Source organism: Homo sapiens, chromosome 6, assembly GCF_000001405.40.
Source record: "Homo sapiens chromosome 6, GRCh38.p14 Primary Assembly".
Classification (NCBI taxonomy): domain Eukaryota; kingdom Metazoa; phylum Chordata; class Mammalia; order Primates; family Hominidae; genus Homo; species Homo sapiens.
In genome coordinates, this window is record NC_000006.12 from 23,428,942 (window position 1) to 23,448,336 (window position 19,395).

The 19,395-nt window shown below is 37.9% G+C and overlaps 2 long non-coding RNA genes across 3 annotated transcripts in view; one reads left to right on the forward strand and one right to left on the reverse strand.

Moving 5' to 3' along the window:
- Nucleotides 1-19,395, reverse strand: part of LOC105374976 (uncharacterized) — a 289,589-nt gene that overhangs the window by 92,196 nt on the left and 177,998 nt on the right. The gene's annotated exons all lie outside the window — the stretch shown is intronic.
- The window catches only part of LOC105374975 (uncharacterized), a 36,848-nt gene that overhangs the window by 12,867 nt on the left and 4,586 nt on the right, over nt 1-19,395 (forward strand). The window contains exon 2 of the long non-coding RNA XR_001744048.2: nt 12,639-12,725. This is a non-coding gene — a long non-coding RNA (uncharacterized LOC105374975). The remainder of the gene's footprint in view (nt 1-12,638; nt 12,726-19,395) is intronic.

A 19,395-nucleotide genomic window follows, 5' to 3' on the forward strand; every position in this document is an offset into this window, starting at 1 on the left:
TTTTTGTCATTGGTCCTGTTTATGTGATGGATTACATTTATTGATTTGTGTATGTTGAACCAGCTTGCATCTCAGGGATGAAGCCAACTTGATTGTGGTGGATAAGCTTTTTGATGTGCTCCTGGATTTGGTTTGCCATTATTTTATTAAGGATTTTTGCATCGATGTTCATCAGGGATACTGGCCTGAAATTTTCTTTTTTTGTTGTGCCTCTGCCAGGTTTTGGTATCAGGATGATGCTGGCCTTATAACATAAGTTATGGAGGAGTCCCTCTTTTCCTATTGTTTGGAATAGTTTCATAAGGAATGGTACCAGCTGCTCTTTGTACCTCTGGTACAATTCGGCTGTGAATCCATCTGGTCCTGGGCTTTTTTTGGTTGGTAGGCTATTAATTACTGCCTCAATTTCAGAACTTGTTATTGGTCTATTCAGGGATTTGACTTGTTCCTGGTTCAGTCTTGGGAGGGTGTATGTGCCAGGAATTTATCCATTTCTTCTAGATTTTCTAGTTTATTTGAATAGAGGTGTTTATAGTATTCTCTGATGGTAGTTTGCATTTCTGTGGGATCAGTCGTGATATACCTTTTATCATTTTTTATTGTCTCTATTTGATTCTTCTCTTTTTTCTTCTTTATTAGTCTGGCTAGCAGTCTATCTTTTTTTTTTTTTTTTTTTTTTTTGAGACAGAGTCTCACTCTTGCCCAGGCTGGAGTGCAGTCTATCTATTTTGTTGATCTTTTGAATAAACCAGCTCCTGGATTCCTTGATTTTTTGAAGGCTTTTTCATGTGTTCATCTCCTTCAGTTCTGCTCTGATCTTAGTTATTTCTTGTCTTCTGCTAGCTTTTGAATCTGTTTGCTCTTGCTTCTCTAGTTCTTTTAATTGTGATGTTAGGGGGTCAATTTTAGATCTTTCCAGCTTTCTCCTGCGGGCATTTAGTGCTATAAATTTCCCTCTAAACACTGCTTTAGCTGTGTCCCAGAGATTCTGGTACATCGTGTCTTTGTTCTCCTTGGTTTCAAAGAACTTATTTATTTCTGCCTTAATTTTGTTATTTACCCAGTAGGCATTCAGGATCAGGTTGTTCAGCTTCCATGTAGTTGTGCAGTTTTGAGTGAGTTTCTTAATCCTGAATTCTAATTTGATTGCACTGTGGTCTGAGAGACTATTTGTTATGATTTCCATTCTTTTGCATTTGCTGAGCAGTGTTTTACTTCCAATTATGTGGCCAATTATAGAATAAGTGCGAAGTGGTGCTTAGAAGAACGTATATTCTGTTGATTTAGGGTGGAGAGTTCTGTAGATGTCTATTAGTTCCACTTGGTCCAGAGCTGAGTTCAAGTCCTGAATATCCTTGTTAATTTTCTGTCTTGTTGATCTGTCTAATATTGACAGTGGGGTGTTAAAGTCTCTTATTATTATTGTGTGGGAGTCTAAGTCTCTTTTTAGGTCTCTAAGAACTTGCTTTATGAATCTGTATTGGGTGCTTCTGTATTGGGTGCATATATGTTTATGATAGTTAGCTCTTCTTGTTGTGTTGATCCCTTTACCATTATGTAATGCCCTTCTTTGTCTCTCTTGATCTTTGTTGGTTTAAATTCTGGTTTATCAGAGACTGGAATTGCAACCCTTGGTTTTTTTTTTTTGTTTGTTTTTTTTCTTTCCATTTGCTTGGTAAATCTTCCTCCATCCCTTTATTTTGAGCCTACGTGTGTCTCTGCATGTGAGATGGGTCTCCCGAATATGGCACACTGATGGATCTTGACTCTTTCTCCAATTTGCCAGTCTGTGTCTTTTAACTGGGGCATTTAGCCCATTTACATTTAAGGCTAATATTGTTATGTGTGAATTTGATTCTTTCATTATGATGCTCGCTGGTTATTTTGGCCATAGGTTGATGCAGTTTCTTCATGGTGTTAATGGTCTTTACAATTTGGTATGTTTTTGCAGTGGCTGGTACCGGTTGTTCCTTTCCATGTTTAGTGCTTCCTTCAGGAGCTCTTGTAAGGCAGTCCTGGTGGTGACAAAATTTCTCAGCATTTGCTTCTCTGTAAAGGATTTTATTTCTTCTTTGCGTATAAAGCTTAGTTTGGCTGGATATGAAATTCTGGGTTGAAAATTATTTTAAGAATGTTGAACATTGGCCCCCACTCTCTTCTGACTAATAGGGTTTCTGCAGAGAGATCCGTTGTTAGTCTGAAGGGCCTGCCTTTGTGGGTAACCTGAGCTTTCTCTCTGGCTGCCCTTAACATTTTTTCCTTCATTTCAACCTTGGTGAATCTGATAATTATGTGTCTTGGGGTTGCTCTTCTCGAGGAGTATCTTTGTGGTGTTCTCTGTGTTTCCTGAATTTGAATTTTGGCCTGTCTTGCTAGGTTGGGGAAGTTCTCCTGGAAAATATCCGGAAGGGTGTTTTCCAACTTGGTCCCATTCTCCCCGTCACTTTCAGGGACAACAATCAAACGTAGGTTTGGCCTTTGCACATAGTCTTATATTTCTTGGAGGCTTTGTTCATTCTTACTCATTTTTTTTCTCTAATCTTGTCTTCACGCTTTATTTCATTAAGTTGATCTTCAATCTCTGATGTCTTTTCTTCCACTTGATCAATTCAGCTACTGATACTTGTCTATGCTTCAAGAAGTTCTTGTGCTGTGTTTTTCAGCTCCATCAGGTCATTTATGTTCTTCTCGAAACTGGTTATTCTAGTTAGCAATTCCTCTAACCATTTTTCAAGGTTCTTAGCTTCCTTGCATTGGGTTAGAACATGCTCCCTTAGCTCGGAGGAGTTTGTTATTACCCACCTTCTGAATCCTACTTCTGTCAATTCGTCAAACTCATTCTCCATCCATTTTTGTTTCCTTGCTGGAGAGGAGTTGTGATCCTTTGCAGGAGAAGAGGCATTCTGGTTTTTGGAATTTTCAGCCTTTTTGTGCCGGTTTTTCCTCATCTTCGTGGATTTATCTACCTTTGGTCTTTGATGTTGGTGACTTTCGGATGGGGATTTTGTGTAGACATCCTTTTTATTGATGTTGGTGATATTCTTTTCTCTTTGTTAGTTTTCCTTCTAACAGTCAGGACCCTCTGCTGCAGGTTTGCTGGAGTTTGCTAGAGACCCACTCCAGACCCTCTTTGCCTGGGTATCACCATCAGAGGTTGCAGAACAGCAACCTGTTCCTTCCTCTGGAAGGAACAGATTGCTGCCTGTTCCTTCCTCTGGAAGGAACAGATTGCTGCCTGTTCCTTCCTCTGGAAGCTTCGTCCCAGAGGGACACCCGCCAGATGATAGCCAGAGCTCTCCTGTATGAGCTGTCTGTCGACCCCTGCTGGGAGGTGTCTCCCAGTCAGGAGGCACAGGGGTCAGGGACCCACTTGAGGAGGCAGTCTGTCCCTTAGCAGAGTTCGACCACTGTGCTGGGAGATCCACTGCTCTGTTTGGAGCCCACAGGCAGGAACGTTTAAGTCTGCTGAAGCTGCGCCCACAGCTGCCCCTTGCCCCAGGTGCTTTGCCCCAGGGAGATGGGAGTTTTATATATAAGCCCCTGACTTTGGCTGCTGCCTTTCAGAGATGCCTGGCCCAGAAAGGAGGAATCTAGAGAGGCAGTCTGGCTACAGTGGCTCTGCCGAGCTGCAGTGGGCCTTGCCTAGTTTGAATTTTCCGGCAGCTTTGTTTACACTGTGAGGGGAAAACCACCTACCCAAGCCTCAGTGATGTCAGATGCCCCTCCTCCAACCAAGCTTGAGCATCCCAAGTTGACTTCAGACTGCTGTGCTGGCAGTGAGAATTTCAAGCCAGTGGATCTTAGCTTGCTGGGATCTGTGGGGTTGAGATCTGCTGAGCTAGACCACTTGGCTCCCTGGCTTCAGCCCCCTTTCCAGGGGAGTGAACGGTTCTGTCTCACTGGCATTCCAGGTGCCACTAGGGTATGAAAAGAAACTCCTGCAGCTAGCTCAGTGTCTGTCCAAATGGCTGCGATGGGCAGTCTTTAAAGAGAAGGTAAACGCATTTGAAAGGGCTTGATATGTTATAACTGTCATATTCCCAAATAAATTATTTCCAAGATTTTTATATACAACTAAACTCTAGTCACACCATCCTTATAAATATAGTATTATATCCTCATAATTCAATTTATATGCAACAGTAAAATAGCACAGCTACTTCAATGAAAATAAAAAATGGACGTTGAAGGTTGAATAGACTTAAAATGGACTCTTAGGGACTATAAACTGTGTACCTTTGTGTATGTCATACATACAGTCTTTGTTGCCTGTGAACATTGTTCTTTTGAAAAGATTCACAATATTCCTAACATACTAATACCAAGTATATTGGAAATCAAAAGTGGCCAATAGATAATAATGCTTAAAAGCTGCTTCTTTCACCCAAATAAATTTCACGAGTGCATAGAAGTTTTGCCATTAAACTTACCACCAGAACTAGCTCCAAAATTCTGCAGCAGATATCTACGATTACCTTGAACTCCTTGAAACATTAACTAAACACATTACAAAAGCATTACTCTAAGACAGACAGTGGAGAAAACTGGGTACCATTATATTTTTGTGCAAATCCATTCTGTTCCCTCTCACTCATTTTTCAGTCTTTGCAAAATATCTCGAGCTTCCCTTCTGCTTCCACCATAATCCTGCAATGCCCTACTCTCCACCATGCATTAAATTCATATCCTTATACATCTAGGTATCACCTGAGTTGCTTCAAAATCAAATCTTATCAAGAAGAGATTTGGCAATCTCTCAAGAACCATTCAGTCAAACACATTACTACAACTTGCTCTCTCCCTTGAGTATGCACATAACAAGTGACATGCTATCTTTCCTCTTTCTTTCTGCCTCAATGTTCTTCATTGTAAGTTTCCAGAGCAGACAGGCTTTTTTTCCCCCTTTACTTAATTCATTTTGCATTACATTTAACTCAGTGATATGCACAGTCTGGTGCTAATTCTTACTGTGAATAATAGAAAATACACTGAAATTCTATTTCCTATAGGGTCTCAATTTGGGTCTGTTTTCTCGGTAATACATTTTTTAATAGCAATTCAATAGTGAGCTAAAGAATTCCTTTGAGTTCAGGAACATCCCATTTGTCAATTTAGAGTAAAATACCTGAGCTCTTTTTTCCCCCTTTTCTATGAGCTTTTCTTTACTGCTGCATGCTGTGCCTCCAATTTGCAGCCTAGCCTGTGAAAATACCACATTTATATATCTGAACACACCCAAAAATAAAAATAGAAGAGATTTACGGATGACAAAACACTGCTGTCTGGATTAAACTCTGTGGGCATGACTACAGGGAAGCCTGCACAGCTGATAAGGGTGGATATTTAATTTCTGCCTTATAGGAGTCTTAGTGGGAGATGGCATATCTCTGAAAACTTCAGAGGTGAAAAGCTGGTGATCATAATTTTACCCAAGTGGCTTTTTTTTTTGGTATCGCAACTAACGTCGAGTAAAATGTCTTTAAATGGGTTATTCTCATTACAGGGGTTCTATGCAGAACGGATCATCCTTCTCCAACATTGATCTGAATTGTTGAACAAAACTCCAGATTATCTTAGAAATATTTTTGTTATAACTTGGCAACAGGATGCTATAGAAAATGGGGGTGTAAACAGAAGTATAGAAGTCAGTTAAATTTTTCTCTTCAGAGTATCATCTATCCCATCACTGCGATGACTACCTCATTGCCCTAATATTGGGTGACTATTTTATTATTATTTAAATCGAACAGTAAGGTATCTGAATAGGAGACAGGGAAATGCAGAGTAATGGTGCTTCATTTTCTTTCTTTCCTTCCTCCATTTTAAACATTATTTTCCAGCTTTAGTGGAAGCAATTCCATGCAATAAAAACAATTTTACTTCTAACATGCATTAATTCATTCACTAAAAACGTGGTTAAATAGCCGGCTCCAACATCACAGTAAATGAAGCTAAAAGAATAGATAAATGGATGGTATTGAAAGACTTTGAAAGTCTATGCTGAGCTTAGCTATTTATTTATATGCACACAGTGTGAAATTAATGAACATACTTTTGATGGCCAAGATTTCTATTACTTTGAAATACTGTAATGTAGGTAAGTACATAAGAGTGTGTTTTAAAACACTATTACTGGAATCCATATCTTGTCTTTTCAGGGAATATATTCAGATTTATTTGCTTCATTAATGAGAAACCTAATTTCATTTACGGTTGTGGAAACACACTCCAATGATAAGGCATATAGGCAGTTTTGCTTCATAGAAGTTTAATTCCACCTCTTAAATGGAACAATACTTAAAATGCAATTGTTCTAAAATTTCTTGGCAAACAGTTTCCCCAAGCATTGGCCCAATTTTTTTCATCACTGCATTTAAGTAAGTTCCCAGCTTTATTAAGACTTCAGGCTCTTTGTTGCCAAGAAAAAACCCTACTGAAAAAGCAAACAATAAGAGTTGGGTTTTCAAATAAATTTTGGTTTGCTTAGGCTGTTTAAAATTTGGTTTGGAAGAAATCAAACATTATCCAAGCATCGAGAGAGATGAACTGTGTCAGAATACCCTTTTTATGAGCTTTTCAATTGAATTATTGCCTTTGGACTGAAAAAATATACTTTCATAATCATTGCATCAACCATCACATTATTTTAACTAGTCTTTAACAAGTAAAAAGGTGAAATTCAGCCAAATTACTTCAGATTTTTTATTCTACAAAAAATATCGGAAGATACTAAGTGGAAGATAAATTGTAATCCCCAAGGAAGTAATTTTTATTGCCAGCCTGGCTTCATATACCAGAGGACTACATATCATCTACCAATGAACAATCAAATACTTCCTAAAGAAAACAATGAATCCCTTTGTGACATTTTGGTGTGCCTGACTATAAGTGGATACAAAATACCAAGCACTTAAAATTTCAATCTGTAGAGATAAATAGTGTTACATAAAAATTAAAGTTGAGAGGAAAAGGTGCCAGATTTTGTACTCAGAGTTAATGGTAAGCTTATTGCAAAATTCAGTAAATTCTGGCAAAAGGTCCAAGGGTCACATACCTGGAAGACAGTTTGATAAATCATCTAGTGCTGTAGCCAATAGAAATGGCTTCCTTTCACTCTCTACCTTTGCTTTTCAGCTGTATAAATTTCTTCTCTATTTTTAAAGATTAAATACACCAGGAAGAAAATATGATTTCACACTTTGACTATCCATATTATCATCAATCTCTGAAAACTCCTCCTTACTATACGTATAACTCAAATCTCTCAGATAGCGTATTTTTTTGCATTTCTTCCAGTTCTAGAGAATAGCTAGCCACCATCATCAATTAGCTAACATTGTGTATTTTTTGAAGCTATTATGAAACCACTTTTTAATCACCTCACTTTCAAACTAAGTAATCCCAATTCCTTTAACCTGTCCTCAAAGGTCCCATTTTACAACTCTTTAATCATCTCTGTGGCTCTTCTCTGGGTTCTCTACAAGTTCCCCATATCCCTAAGAGGCTTTGGAGCCCAAAACTCAGTAATAATTTGTCTTTCTTTCATCTGTTGTCATGTGGTGGCAGTTGTGGTTTTGGCTTCTCCTACGACCTAGATTGTAGACAATTTGAGGATAAACATTATGTTCTTTGCTTATGAAGCATTTCTGTTGATCGTAATTTCCTACAGAATTAGGTATATCACGGATGCTTACTCATTTGTTTTTTCTTCTGTTTTGTTTTGTTTACTGTAGCAGTCTCATTATCATTGAGTATAAAAGAAGCACCTCATGGCTTTTGTGTTACATAAACTTATTTATGTACTTTGAACCCCTTTCTTATTTTGATCTGCCATATAAAAGTCAAATGTCCATTCTGCTGAGGAGGCTCTCAACACAAGTTCTATAGAATTTACCAGTTTTCAATTAAGACTTTAGGTTTTTTATTTGTCTTTCAGTAAACTAAAGGGAAAACAAGATATTTGTTAGTAAATTTTTGCCAATTTCTTTTCAAGTTGGAAATGTGTGATTTTATCAATTCAAACTGTGACGAAGACGGGGAAAAAAAGCCAAAACATTAATTTCTCTTTTATTTAAACACATTTGTACTAAAACTGAGTATGCGAAACACATGGAAAAAACCAGCACACACCAAGGAGAAGCATTTCTTAATTTGGGGTAAAGAGCTAAGGAAGAAATAGGAAGACTATTGAGCATGGAATCTAGACTATTAAAGTAATAGTAATAAATCATTGAAAATAAAATGATGACCAATGTACTATAGAGTTGAATAAAGAGTTTTCCCTAGAGAGAAATTTGGAGGACTGGACAAAAACAAACAAACAAAACAATTGTCTTACATTAAAGGCAAAAAAATAGTAATATTTCATACAACCTAAATTACTTATTAAAAGTACTTTCAAAACACATTCATAGAAGGCAGAACTTTGTTGATCTGTCAAGAATTTTTTAGATTCTGAGTTGGACGTCAAGGCCATACCTTTATTGAATTTATTCATTAAACATTTCTGTATTGAGTACCTATGATAAAACAGGGACTATTCTACATTTTAGAAATTTAGCAAGAAATAAACAAAATCTCTGCCCTCATGGAAGTTAAATTCTACTTATAGAATAAGTAAATAAAGAAGAAAATAGATAACTAACTAGTAGGTTGCATGTACCAAATGGAGAGAAAAAGATAAAGCAGGTAGAGAATGCCAGGGAGAGGCAGATTGTTGTTTTTACAGAGGATGGTCAGGAAAGGTCTCTCTGACATGATGCCATATTAGCAGAGAACTGCAGGAAGTAAGAAACTGAATCTTCTCAATCTTTGGGAAAAGGAATTTTCTAGCATAAGTACAAAAACTAGGAGGCTAGAGCATATTTGGTATGTTCAAGAAACATCAAGGAAGGCAGTATGACTTCAGAACAAACAATAAGAGAGAGGGGGAGACAGAGAGACAGAGAAGAGAGAGAGGAGAGATAGTGAGGGCCAGATCAGATCATGTAAGATCCTTTAAACCTCTGGTCATCACTTTAGTTTATATTCTCAGTGAGATGGGAAGCCATTTGAGGACTTTTAGGCCAAGGATGGATATAATCTCTCTTAACTTTCAAAATGATCACTTTGGCAACAGTATGGATAATGGACTATATGGCAGCCAAGTGTGAAAGTATTGAAATCAATTAAGTCTATTGTAAGTCTAAACAAGAGGTAATGGTCCACACTGCAGTGTGAACAGTAGAGAGGTTGAGAAGTAATCAGATTCTGGAAGAGCTGATAGGATTTTCTAATGGGTTAAATAAAGATGTGAGAGGAAGAGCAGAATCAGGATGATTCTAGTTTTAGACTTGACCCACTAAAAGAATGAAGATGCAAAAGAGAGAATAGTAGTCCTTTCTTTGCCAAAAATCAGCTCTGCATAGCTGTGTCTATTTTGTTCCATTGATCTATGTGTCCGTCCCTCTACCAGGACCACTCTGTTTGGATTCCTGTAGACACAAAATCACATTGGGTTTGTGATTTCTCCAACCTTATCGTTTTCAAAATTGCTTAAGTAATTCTATGTATTTTGCCTTTCCATACTCATTTTAGAATGAGCTTGTCAAAAAATCATGCTGGGATTATGTTGGCAATTGCATTAAATCTATAGATCCATTTGGTGAATATTACTGTCTTTACTATGTTGATTACTCCAATTCCTGACTACAGTATGTCTCTCCATTTATTTAGGTCTTTAATTTTATAAATCAGCATTGTTTGGATTTTACTATATACATCCTATGCATGTTTTCTTAGATTTACACCTAAGTATTTCTCTTTTGGAGGAATTATTCTAAATGATATTTATTTTTACTGTCAGTTTTTAATTACTCATTGCTAGAATATAGAATTATAATTGTCAATTAAGTTGTGACAGATTAATTTCTTTCTGATTCGTATGCCTTTTCTTTTTTTTCATTTTTCTTTTTCTTTTGCCTTATTGTGCTGGGTGGCATTCCAGTAATATGTTGAATATGAATGGTAGAAGTGGACATTCTTGAATTGTTCCCCATCTTAGGAAGGAAGCATTCACTCTTCCACCATTAGGTGTGATACTATGATGTTATCTGTAGGCTTTTTTTTTTTTTTTCGGAAATGCTTTTATGAGACTGACGATATTCTCTTCCTCTTCTAGTTTACAGAGAGATTGTATCATGAATGGGATTAAAGCTTGTCAAATACTTTTTTCTGCATCAAACAGTATAATCACGTGCCTTTGCTTGTTTTGATTTTTAATTTGTAGAATACTTCGATTTTTAAAATATGGATTAAGCCTTGCATTAGTGGAATAAGGGAATAAAGTCCACTTAGTTTTAGTGTATTACTCTTCTTATATGTTGTTAGATTTGATTTGCTAGTACTGTATTGGGAATGTTTGTGTCTATGCTCATGGGGGATATTGTTCTGTACTTTTCCTACGGTAACTGTCTTTGGTTTTGGTATCAGAGTAATGCTGACCTTATAATATGAACTGGGAGTCTTCCCCTCCTCTTCTGTTTTCTGAAAGAAGTTGTATAAGATTAATATTAGTCTTTCTTTAAATATTTGGCATGCTTATATTTTAAAAAATCATGTTGACAGAATTGAGGTGTATATGTAAAGTAGAATCAGGAAGGAGGCCACTGAAGTTATTTTCATGAGAGATAAAGCTGTCTTGGCTAAGTAGATAATTATAGGGATGTAAATAGACAATTATGTAACATATATATGTATACTGGGTAGCATTCCAGTAATATGTAGAATATGAATAGTAGAAGTGGACATTCTTGAATTGTTCCCTGTCTTAGGAAGGAAGCATTCAGTCATCCACCATTAGGTGTTATCTGTAGGGTGCTTTTTTTTTTTTTTTTTGAAAAGCTTTTATGAGACTGAGGATATTCTCTTCCTCTTCTAGTTTACAGAGATGTATTTACAAATACATGTCGATTTGTATGTGTGTATACACACACACATGTAATTCCTAGGACACTTTCTGATGCATAACAGATAGTCAATCAATGTAGTTTTCTTTTTCATTTCCCCTAAGCTTAATTTTCCCCAGAAAATATAGATATAAATCAGAGTAACTCTTTAGATCAGAGGCGGCCAAACTATAGCCTGTGGGCTACCTGCTTCTTTTTGTAAATACATTTTTTGGGGTCACAGCCATGCCATTTTATACAGGTTGCCCATGGCTGCTTTTGTGCCACAACACCAAGGTCGAGCAGTTGCAGTAGATATCATTTGGCCTGCAAGCCTTCGATATTTACAATCTGACAGAGTACCAACCCTGTTTTTGCAAAGTCTCAGGCTGTGGATGATGTAATAATAGTAACATGCAACAGCTTTTAGCAGATATTATCCCACAGAATAAAAGGCAACATCCTTACGATTTCCTACGATGATCTACAACAACCTGCTACTCCACTCTCTGCCTTCCTTAATATGTCTCTGACTTCATCGCTTCTAACTCCCCCATCACCTACTCCTTGTCAGCTTTCTTATTCTTCTTCAAAAATTTAGACACACTTCCTTTTTGGGACCTTTCTTTGGAGATATCCTCTGTCTAGAATTTTCTTCCTTCAAACGTTCCCAAGGGTCATCCCTCATTTCCTTCCTTTTTTTTTTTTTTTTTTTTTTTTGCTCAAATCTCTCCACCCAACTCCACATTTTAGGAAAAAAACAATGTGGAGGTGCTTCTCGTCTCCCCAAGATCCTCTTCTGTTCAGCCAGATGTTTCCTGTATAAATGTTTGGATCTGCCTGTTCATTTTGGTGGGTGTTCTTGCCTTCTTCTCCCACCACCCATGCCACCTTCTCACTCTGCTCCTGGCCTCCAGCCCACGGAGGACTACCTGGGGGTGAGGTTCCTGGGCCTTCCCTCTCCTGCCTTTCTTCTTTCTGTTGGTTGTCACTTCAGCTGGCTGTATTGCTTTTTAATATTGCACCAAAAGTTTTTTAGATAAAATTTAAAAAAAAGGAAAAGGAAAAAAATTGGTTACAATTTGGTTCTTCTAAAGATATCACATTGTTTCTCTTTCTTAAGTGAAGTCCACCTTGACCACCCTATTTTTATTAGATTCAGGGAACTCTAAACTAATCCCTAAAACTTTAGGAATTGCCAAATCCCTAACAATTTTTCAAAAACCCTTTAACATAAGCCAGGTGCGGTGGCTCATGCCTGTAATCCTAGCACTTTGGGAGGCTGAGGCAGGCAGATTGCCTGAGCTCAGGAGTTCAAGACCAGCCTGGGCAACATGGTGAAATCTCATCTCCACTAAAATACAAAAAATTAGCCAGGCATGGTGGCATGCACCTGTAGTTCCAGCTACTTGGGAGGCTGAGGCAGAATTGCTTGAACCCAGAAGGTGGAGGTTGCAGTGAGCCAAGATCGCGTCACTGCACTCCAGCCTGGAATAGAGCAAGACTGTCTCCAAAAAAAAAAAAAAAAAAAAAAAACTATGTACATCAATGCCCAGATTTTGTCATGCCCCAGTATAAATCTAGCGATTTCTATTTGTTTAAACTTCCCCTTTGCTGTACATAACCAAAATTCTGCAAGTAGTTCAAAACCACTCAAATATAAGTTGATGTTAGTGAGAAAATAATTGTTATGGTCTTGATTTTTTTTTCTAGTCATCTTTTCTAAAACTCTTCTAGTGGCAGCTCTAAATATCAGTTGGACTGGTACTGAAGAAAAAACAGGACAAAAAGGCCAGAAGGGTAAGTGCTATCTTTTTTGTACCAAAGGACTATTCTTTCTTACGAGGCCTGAGACCTTGTTTGCCCACTGTAACAATTAACTTTCCTCCTCAAAAACTACTACATTAGGAAAAATATCACCTTCTACCCCAGCTCATCCCTGAATTCTATGATGTTTCTTTCTGAGAATGCCAGCTGAGTGATGACAAGAAGGGAGAATGGAAGATTTGAGAAAAATAAATCATGATTTCATTATCTCAGCTTGGACCTTAAGTTCAGGAGGGCATTGTTAATGTTTCCTGATTTCACCAAACCACCTATTACCATGTCAGCTTCAAACACGGATAGAGTGAAATGTATTGCTTCCATGGGGAGATCACATTTTCCATGAGCTAGTGTATTCAGCTTAAGTCGCATTTTAAAATGTTCAGCGAAAAATGGCATTTAAAAATCCTGACCCATTTAAGAAAGAGAAACACTGTGATTTCTTTAGAAGAACCACATTGTCCAAAGCAGGACACAGTGAACAGGTTTTCTTCAGCCAGTCTGTGTAAACTAACTTGTACTTCTGGAGAAAGAAAATGAGAAGAAAACAGAGAAGCTGGTTGCCAGGGTAACCATGTCCTGATTGGAAAAGAGGAGGTCATGGGGTTTGATATAATTGAAGTAACCCAGCCTGTAGCTGTATTTTCTCCCTCACCTGCTTGAATCAAGGGGAAGGCAAAGTCAGAGAAGAGCTGGAAGGTTATTATTTAAAGTAGGATAATGTGCAGCAGGAGGTCAAGTATTCTTTTTGAAGAGTTGTATGGATAGGTAAAATAATATAATAATCCCTTATATATTAGCGTGAGCACATTGCAACTTACAAACATTTCAGAGCCCGCAGCCCCCTCAGTTGTTAAATTCACCCACATCTTCCAGCGTTCCTTCTCCAAAAGCTCTTCTACCTGGTCCGCTTCAAAGTGAAGTCATAACTCCTTTTCTTACATTTCTCACATATTCCCCCTTCTCTTCCATTCCCACCTTCATTTACCACACTCCACAGCTTGCTTTATCAATTCCAGTCTGGATTTTGGCAGCAGATTACTGTCTGGTTTCCTTGATTCCAGGTCCCTTTGCACACCAACTGCAATCTCTCTCCTCCATTTCCATTAGGTTAAAATGAAATTAGGTAACATATATGAAGTGTCTAGCATGGAGTTAAATAAATGCTATTCCTTATTTTTACAATTCAGTTTAGCAAACTTATCAGACAGCATTTCCTGCAACAAGACCAGTCACTGCTTTGAATAACTATACAACATTCATATGTATATATGAACACACACGCACACACACACAACATATTACTTTATACACACATATATAGACAGAGGGCAACAGAGGCTGTTCAACAGAAATCCATTGATTAACCTCAAGGGATTTGGATTCTCTGAAACGTATGCATCCATACAGGTACTTTTGCTTTGAAACATGAAAACCCCCATTCTCCCAAGCCCAGCTTCAGTTTCCAACCCTAACTAGAACTCCTAGTTCCAATCTCAGCCCAAGCACTCACCCCACAACTCAACCCCAGCTCTGAATCTGGAATCCCAGGTGGTGTCCTCCGTTGTCAATAGAGTTCTGTTCAGCATTCACAGGTCTCTCCATGCAGCCTTGCCCACCTCACCAACCTAATTTCAAATTGTTCAAGACCCATCTCCATGTTCCTGTGCTGGTGACCTTCCCCCAGCCCTGAGGAGACGGGTCTTCCTGCTCCCTTTCCTCATACCCAGTCTATTCTTTGAAGGTGACCTCCAGCTTCTCCCATCCCATGGAAAATTCTCTGACTGTAGTTCACCCTGATTCTGCCTTTTTTCTCTGGAAACAATTTACCACCCATGCTAGGAGTATAATATTGTTATATATACACAGGCAAGAGGGCATGGGACACTATCTAATTAACCAAGTAATTGGGATTAAAGTGTGAGAAAGTGAGTAAAGATGGAAAGCTAAGAGGAGAAGCCTGAGTGATTATTTGCTTGAGGCTTGTAAACCCACTATTGACTTACTTGGTGGCTAGCCTAGGCCAGAGAAAACTCAGTGTGCGTGTGGAGCTCCATATGGAATCAAGCAGCTAAGAAGCACTGAAAGTTTTCTCTGTGCCAAGAACTGAGGTAAGCATTTTATCTATATAGTATCATGTAAACCTCATGGCAACCCCATTAAATGCTATTGTTATACTATCTTTATACCAGTTAATCAGATGAGAACTCAAGTCTGAAATAATAGCTTAAGCAATGTCATATGTGTAGTAAGTGCTGGGGTCAGGACTAAAATCTTATTTTGCATGACTTCAGAATCTATGCTTTTGATTCTGGATCCTGTTTATGCACCTCTTTGGGCTGTATAAATGATGACAGCACTGCTTTCCATTCATAAATTTTTTTTTTTATAAATTCAATCATTGACAGATTTAATTGTCCTAAAAATACTTTCATGCAGAGGTGTCTAACCAATGTCCTGAGCTGCCTGTTTAGGGGCTACCCGATTCATACTGACTTTGGTGATAAGTTTGTGTCCGTTGCCCTCCACAGAAGGCCTTTTTGCCATCTTCTATTATCTCCAATTCCATTCTTATTAAATAGGGACATCTCTTCCTGCAGGTTTTGCTTTTACAGTATTTTGTGAATATGAAGGATTCTGTTATTTTCAATCATTTCTGATCTACTGATCCTGGATGTAAAGAAAGAGCCAAAGGAATTGATGTCAATAAAACTGAGGTCAATCTAGAAGTGTTCAGTGTTCATAGTACATGGTAATTGCCATAAAATCCTCAGTGCTCACAAGAATACTTTAAGAAATCTCCAAATTAAAATTGAAGAAAAGATAGAGACTAAGTTGGGAAATATTATAAAAGGCAAGATGAGAGAACTTGTGTGCTTTTGTTTTGTTTATGTTAATATTACATATAAACCTAGGTAGAAAATACAGCCCCTCTGAGCTAGGATGAAGGCATCAAGAACTTCCCCTTTCAGCAGCCCTCAAGGGAGGGACATGAAGTGGGGAGGATCTGCTTGGCAGGGGTAACAGTTTTATTACTGACACTGTTAGAATGGCTGGTGCATGGTCATAATAAAAACCAGACCTATTTTAGTGAGGTTTACTGTCATTTTAAAATTATCTACAGACAATGTACCTCCTTATTGCCTGTACTGGGGTGTCCCACTCCTCCCAACCTCCCCACCATATGCCACTGCCCATGTAATGCTAGAAGAGGTCAGGACCTCAATATCATGTCCCATGATTACTTGAGCAAGCCAGTCTACATCTTCTGTATAACACAGGAGAACCCAAGGGTGACACATAAACAATGGGCCCACTATGGGTGACAAAGATATGGAATTCTACAATATTTAACATATAAGTTTTAAAAACATTTAGAAATAATTTTCCATGAGAATTTCTACAGTAAACATTCTAAGATTTCAGTATTTTCTTCTGAGTCACACTAATTATTGAGTCTGCTTTACTCTGGACATTGGAATATATGGAAACATTATTGGCGAGGGGTAGAAGGCAAGGAGCAGTTGTCACCGGGAAAGGTTAATTGTGTATTTCTCTTAGTGGAATGATTTAGAGAGTTTAGGAAAAGAGCATGTGAATATAGCAACCTCCCTACCGTATACACTGTTTCTGATCAAAATTAATGAGTTGTGATCAAGTCAGATAAATGAATAGCTAACTAATTTTTTTTTAAAGTTCTTCACTGTTCCCTCCAAGTTGGAAAATGCATCTACTTAAGTACACCAACACAATCCAAGAAACTGTCAGCAGGGATTATCAGGGCAGCCTCTTAAGATTTGACCCATTGCCCAGGAGTCCACACATGACCTTGATCTCCCCGGTCAAACAATGTCTATAAATAATGCACTAAGCATTTTCACATGTGGGGTGAGCAACATTCTTCATATTTGCTCATGAATTCACATTGCTTCTTATGACGCTGCTTCAGTTTTCTGTGTAGTTATCTTTAAAAGGTTGATTACATGCTTTCCTTTAAAATGAGAGCATTGTGTCTGTGAATTTCAATATAAAGCCTAGGGCTGTGAACTGGAAGAGGAAAAAAAATAATAACATTCCAGTAACATCAAGTTAAATGTTTGATGAGTTTGTTTTGATAAAAACAGTTTATGTTTTTACTACTTTACATGTAAAATGAATGATTGCCAATCAGAATAGAGCCATTATTTTTGCATCTCGTTCTTAGATGGTTCTCAGTAGGGCATTCTGGAAGTCTGGATTAGCTGTCCAAGAATATTTTACAGAAGCTAAATTTGTCTCCTTCCAAATCATCTGCAAACCTCCAGGTTTACACAAAAACAATGAAAAGGGTTCTTCATTGTATTAGGAGCTTTTGAGTTGGTTTTGTTTTCCTTCCAGTTATTCTACTCCCTGTTAGTGGGCAATATACATAGGGCTGTGAGCTTTCATCTGACCATCTCCGTCTAGAAAATCCAGGTTAATGTTGCATAAAAGCATAGCCAATCTGCTGGAAGAAACATAGGATTTCAGAAAAGAATAAGCTAATGGCATGACTGAATTCTTTTCTTTTCTCAGAAATACACTTTTACCTTACCACTTAAGCTTAGACTTTTGGCTCTAACAAATTTTCTTTTGTAATGAAACTATATCTATCTGAAAAACAACCATAACAAACAAAGAAACAAAACAGAGACTGGCCCCCGTACCCGCTACACACAAAAAAACTCACAATGCCTGAATTTTCTATATCATTTAACACATTTTTTTCATTACCAGCTTTAATTGTATATCAGCTTTTCTGAATGAACCTTGTACAAAATGAAGGGATTTTATTTGCATGTTTTATTCCATATTGCTATGGACAAGAAAAGATTGTAATGGGGGAGGGAAGATGTAAAATGGACTCTTCAAACTGGGGTATTACTGCCATCTAGTGTGATGCACTGTAACCCAGAGGGGAAGGAAAAGATGATCTGAGACAATCCAATCTGAAATTGTAGGAGTTTGAGGGAGGGAAGAGAGCACTTCTCCGAAGAAATAGCCACCACCCTCCCGCATTCACCATGTAATGAATTCTTTCTCTACAAAAGCATTAGTATGTGGTCAAACAATACAAAGCAGTCTGTTTTGCCCAGCAAAATGGAGAAACCCTGGTCAATTCTAAAAGCAAGTTCTTTATGAGAAGGCACGTCCCAACTGTAAAGGTTGTTAAACGGCAGGAATGATTTATTCAAAGGAGGGATGGCCATATCCTTTGAAAACAGTCCAGATAGCCATATGTCTACTGCTTTCTGTAAGGACAGTCACGTTTGCACAGAGACAGGCAGACAGTCTTGATGGCATCTTTGTTCCCTTTCAAGCTTTCTGATTATATATAACAAAAATAATATTTGTTATTTATGCCCATAAGTGGTTCATAATATATGTGTTGCCCACAGAAATATTATATTACTGAAGCCCCACCATGTAGGATTGTAAAAATTAAACCTAATCACAAACATGGGGCAAGATACATGAAATTCTAGCCCAATACATGTATTTATTTTTGCTTCACATGGCACAAGATATATATATATATATATTACATATATATATATAAGGACGGAGCGATGAGGGGAGTAGTATCTTCTTTCTGTAACCCTCCATAGTCCTCCTCCCCTGCCAAAGTTTTGTTTGGTTCTGGCACAGATTCAGTGAGGTATTAGCTGGTACCTTTGTAGCTAATAGCCAGCACTGATTCTTCCATTCACCATAGGACAATTCTTCAATTCTTTATTTCACTAACTGTAACTCCCACTACCCCCACTAACATACACGCATTATCATTCCCATCCTGCGGGGGTTTGTGATTTTAGAAGCTAAGGACTTTGGTGCCCTGGTTATATTTGAAATCTGTGACTTTAAAAGCTCAAAAGGCAGAAACCTGCAGGGATAATGAGAGCTAATTTAAAGAATCATAAGTATAAAATCTAAGCTCAGAGGAATTTTAAGTCATTACCTATGTCAAAGTAACCTAGAACTGCAGGCTATTTTTGCTGGTTTCAAAAGTGACCTGTAGCTCCAGGTGTCTTGAATTAAAAAAAAAAAAAAAAAAAATCACTCTGTCCTACCCTGGGCTCAGGACACATTGAAGGAGTAAATGCATTGCCAGCCAGGCACCAGGTAGAGAAAATGGAACTAGGAGGAAGTGCCAACATCATAGCCCAGGCTGGCAGAATTTCCAGCTTCTCAGGAAATCTTTTGGACAGAAAAGTGTTAATGGGCTAGAGTAGGTTTCTCAGGTTTTTGTAGCCATCTGTGTTTGAGAGGGGACTTCTGGTAAACTTTCTGCTGGTGTTCTCTTTGCCTGTGCACAAGAAAAGCAATAGTGGGAGGTTAATGCATATTTTATCACATTCATACAAATTGGGGATCAGATTTAACTGGTTCTACATATTATTTTCAGGAGCCAAATAAGGATTAAGCTCCTTTTCACTGGGCAAGGAGAGAGAGGCACAGAGAACTGTTAAGTCTCAGGTCCATGCAACCTAAGGACCTGCTCTTTAAACAGAAATAAGTGTGCCGCAGAGTTGAATATAAAGGCAAATCTATTAATTCATCATTAAACATAGATCAGGAATCAATAACATTTTCATCCTAGCTATGGCAGGATTAAAGTCTGCTTGCC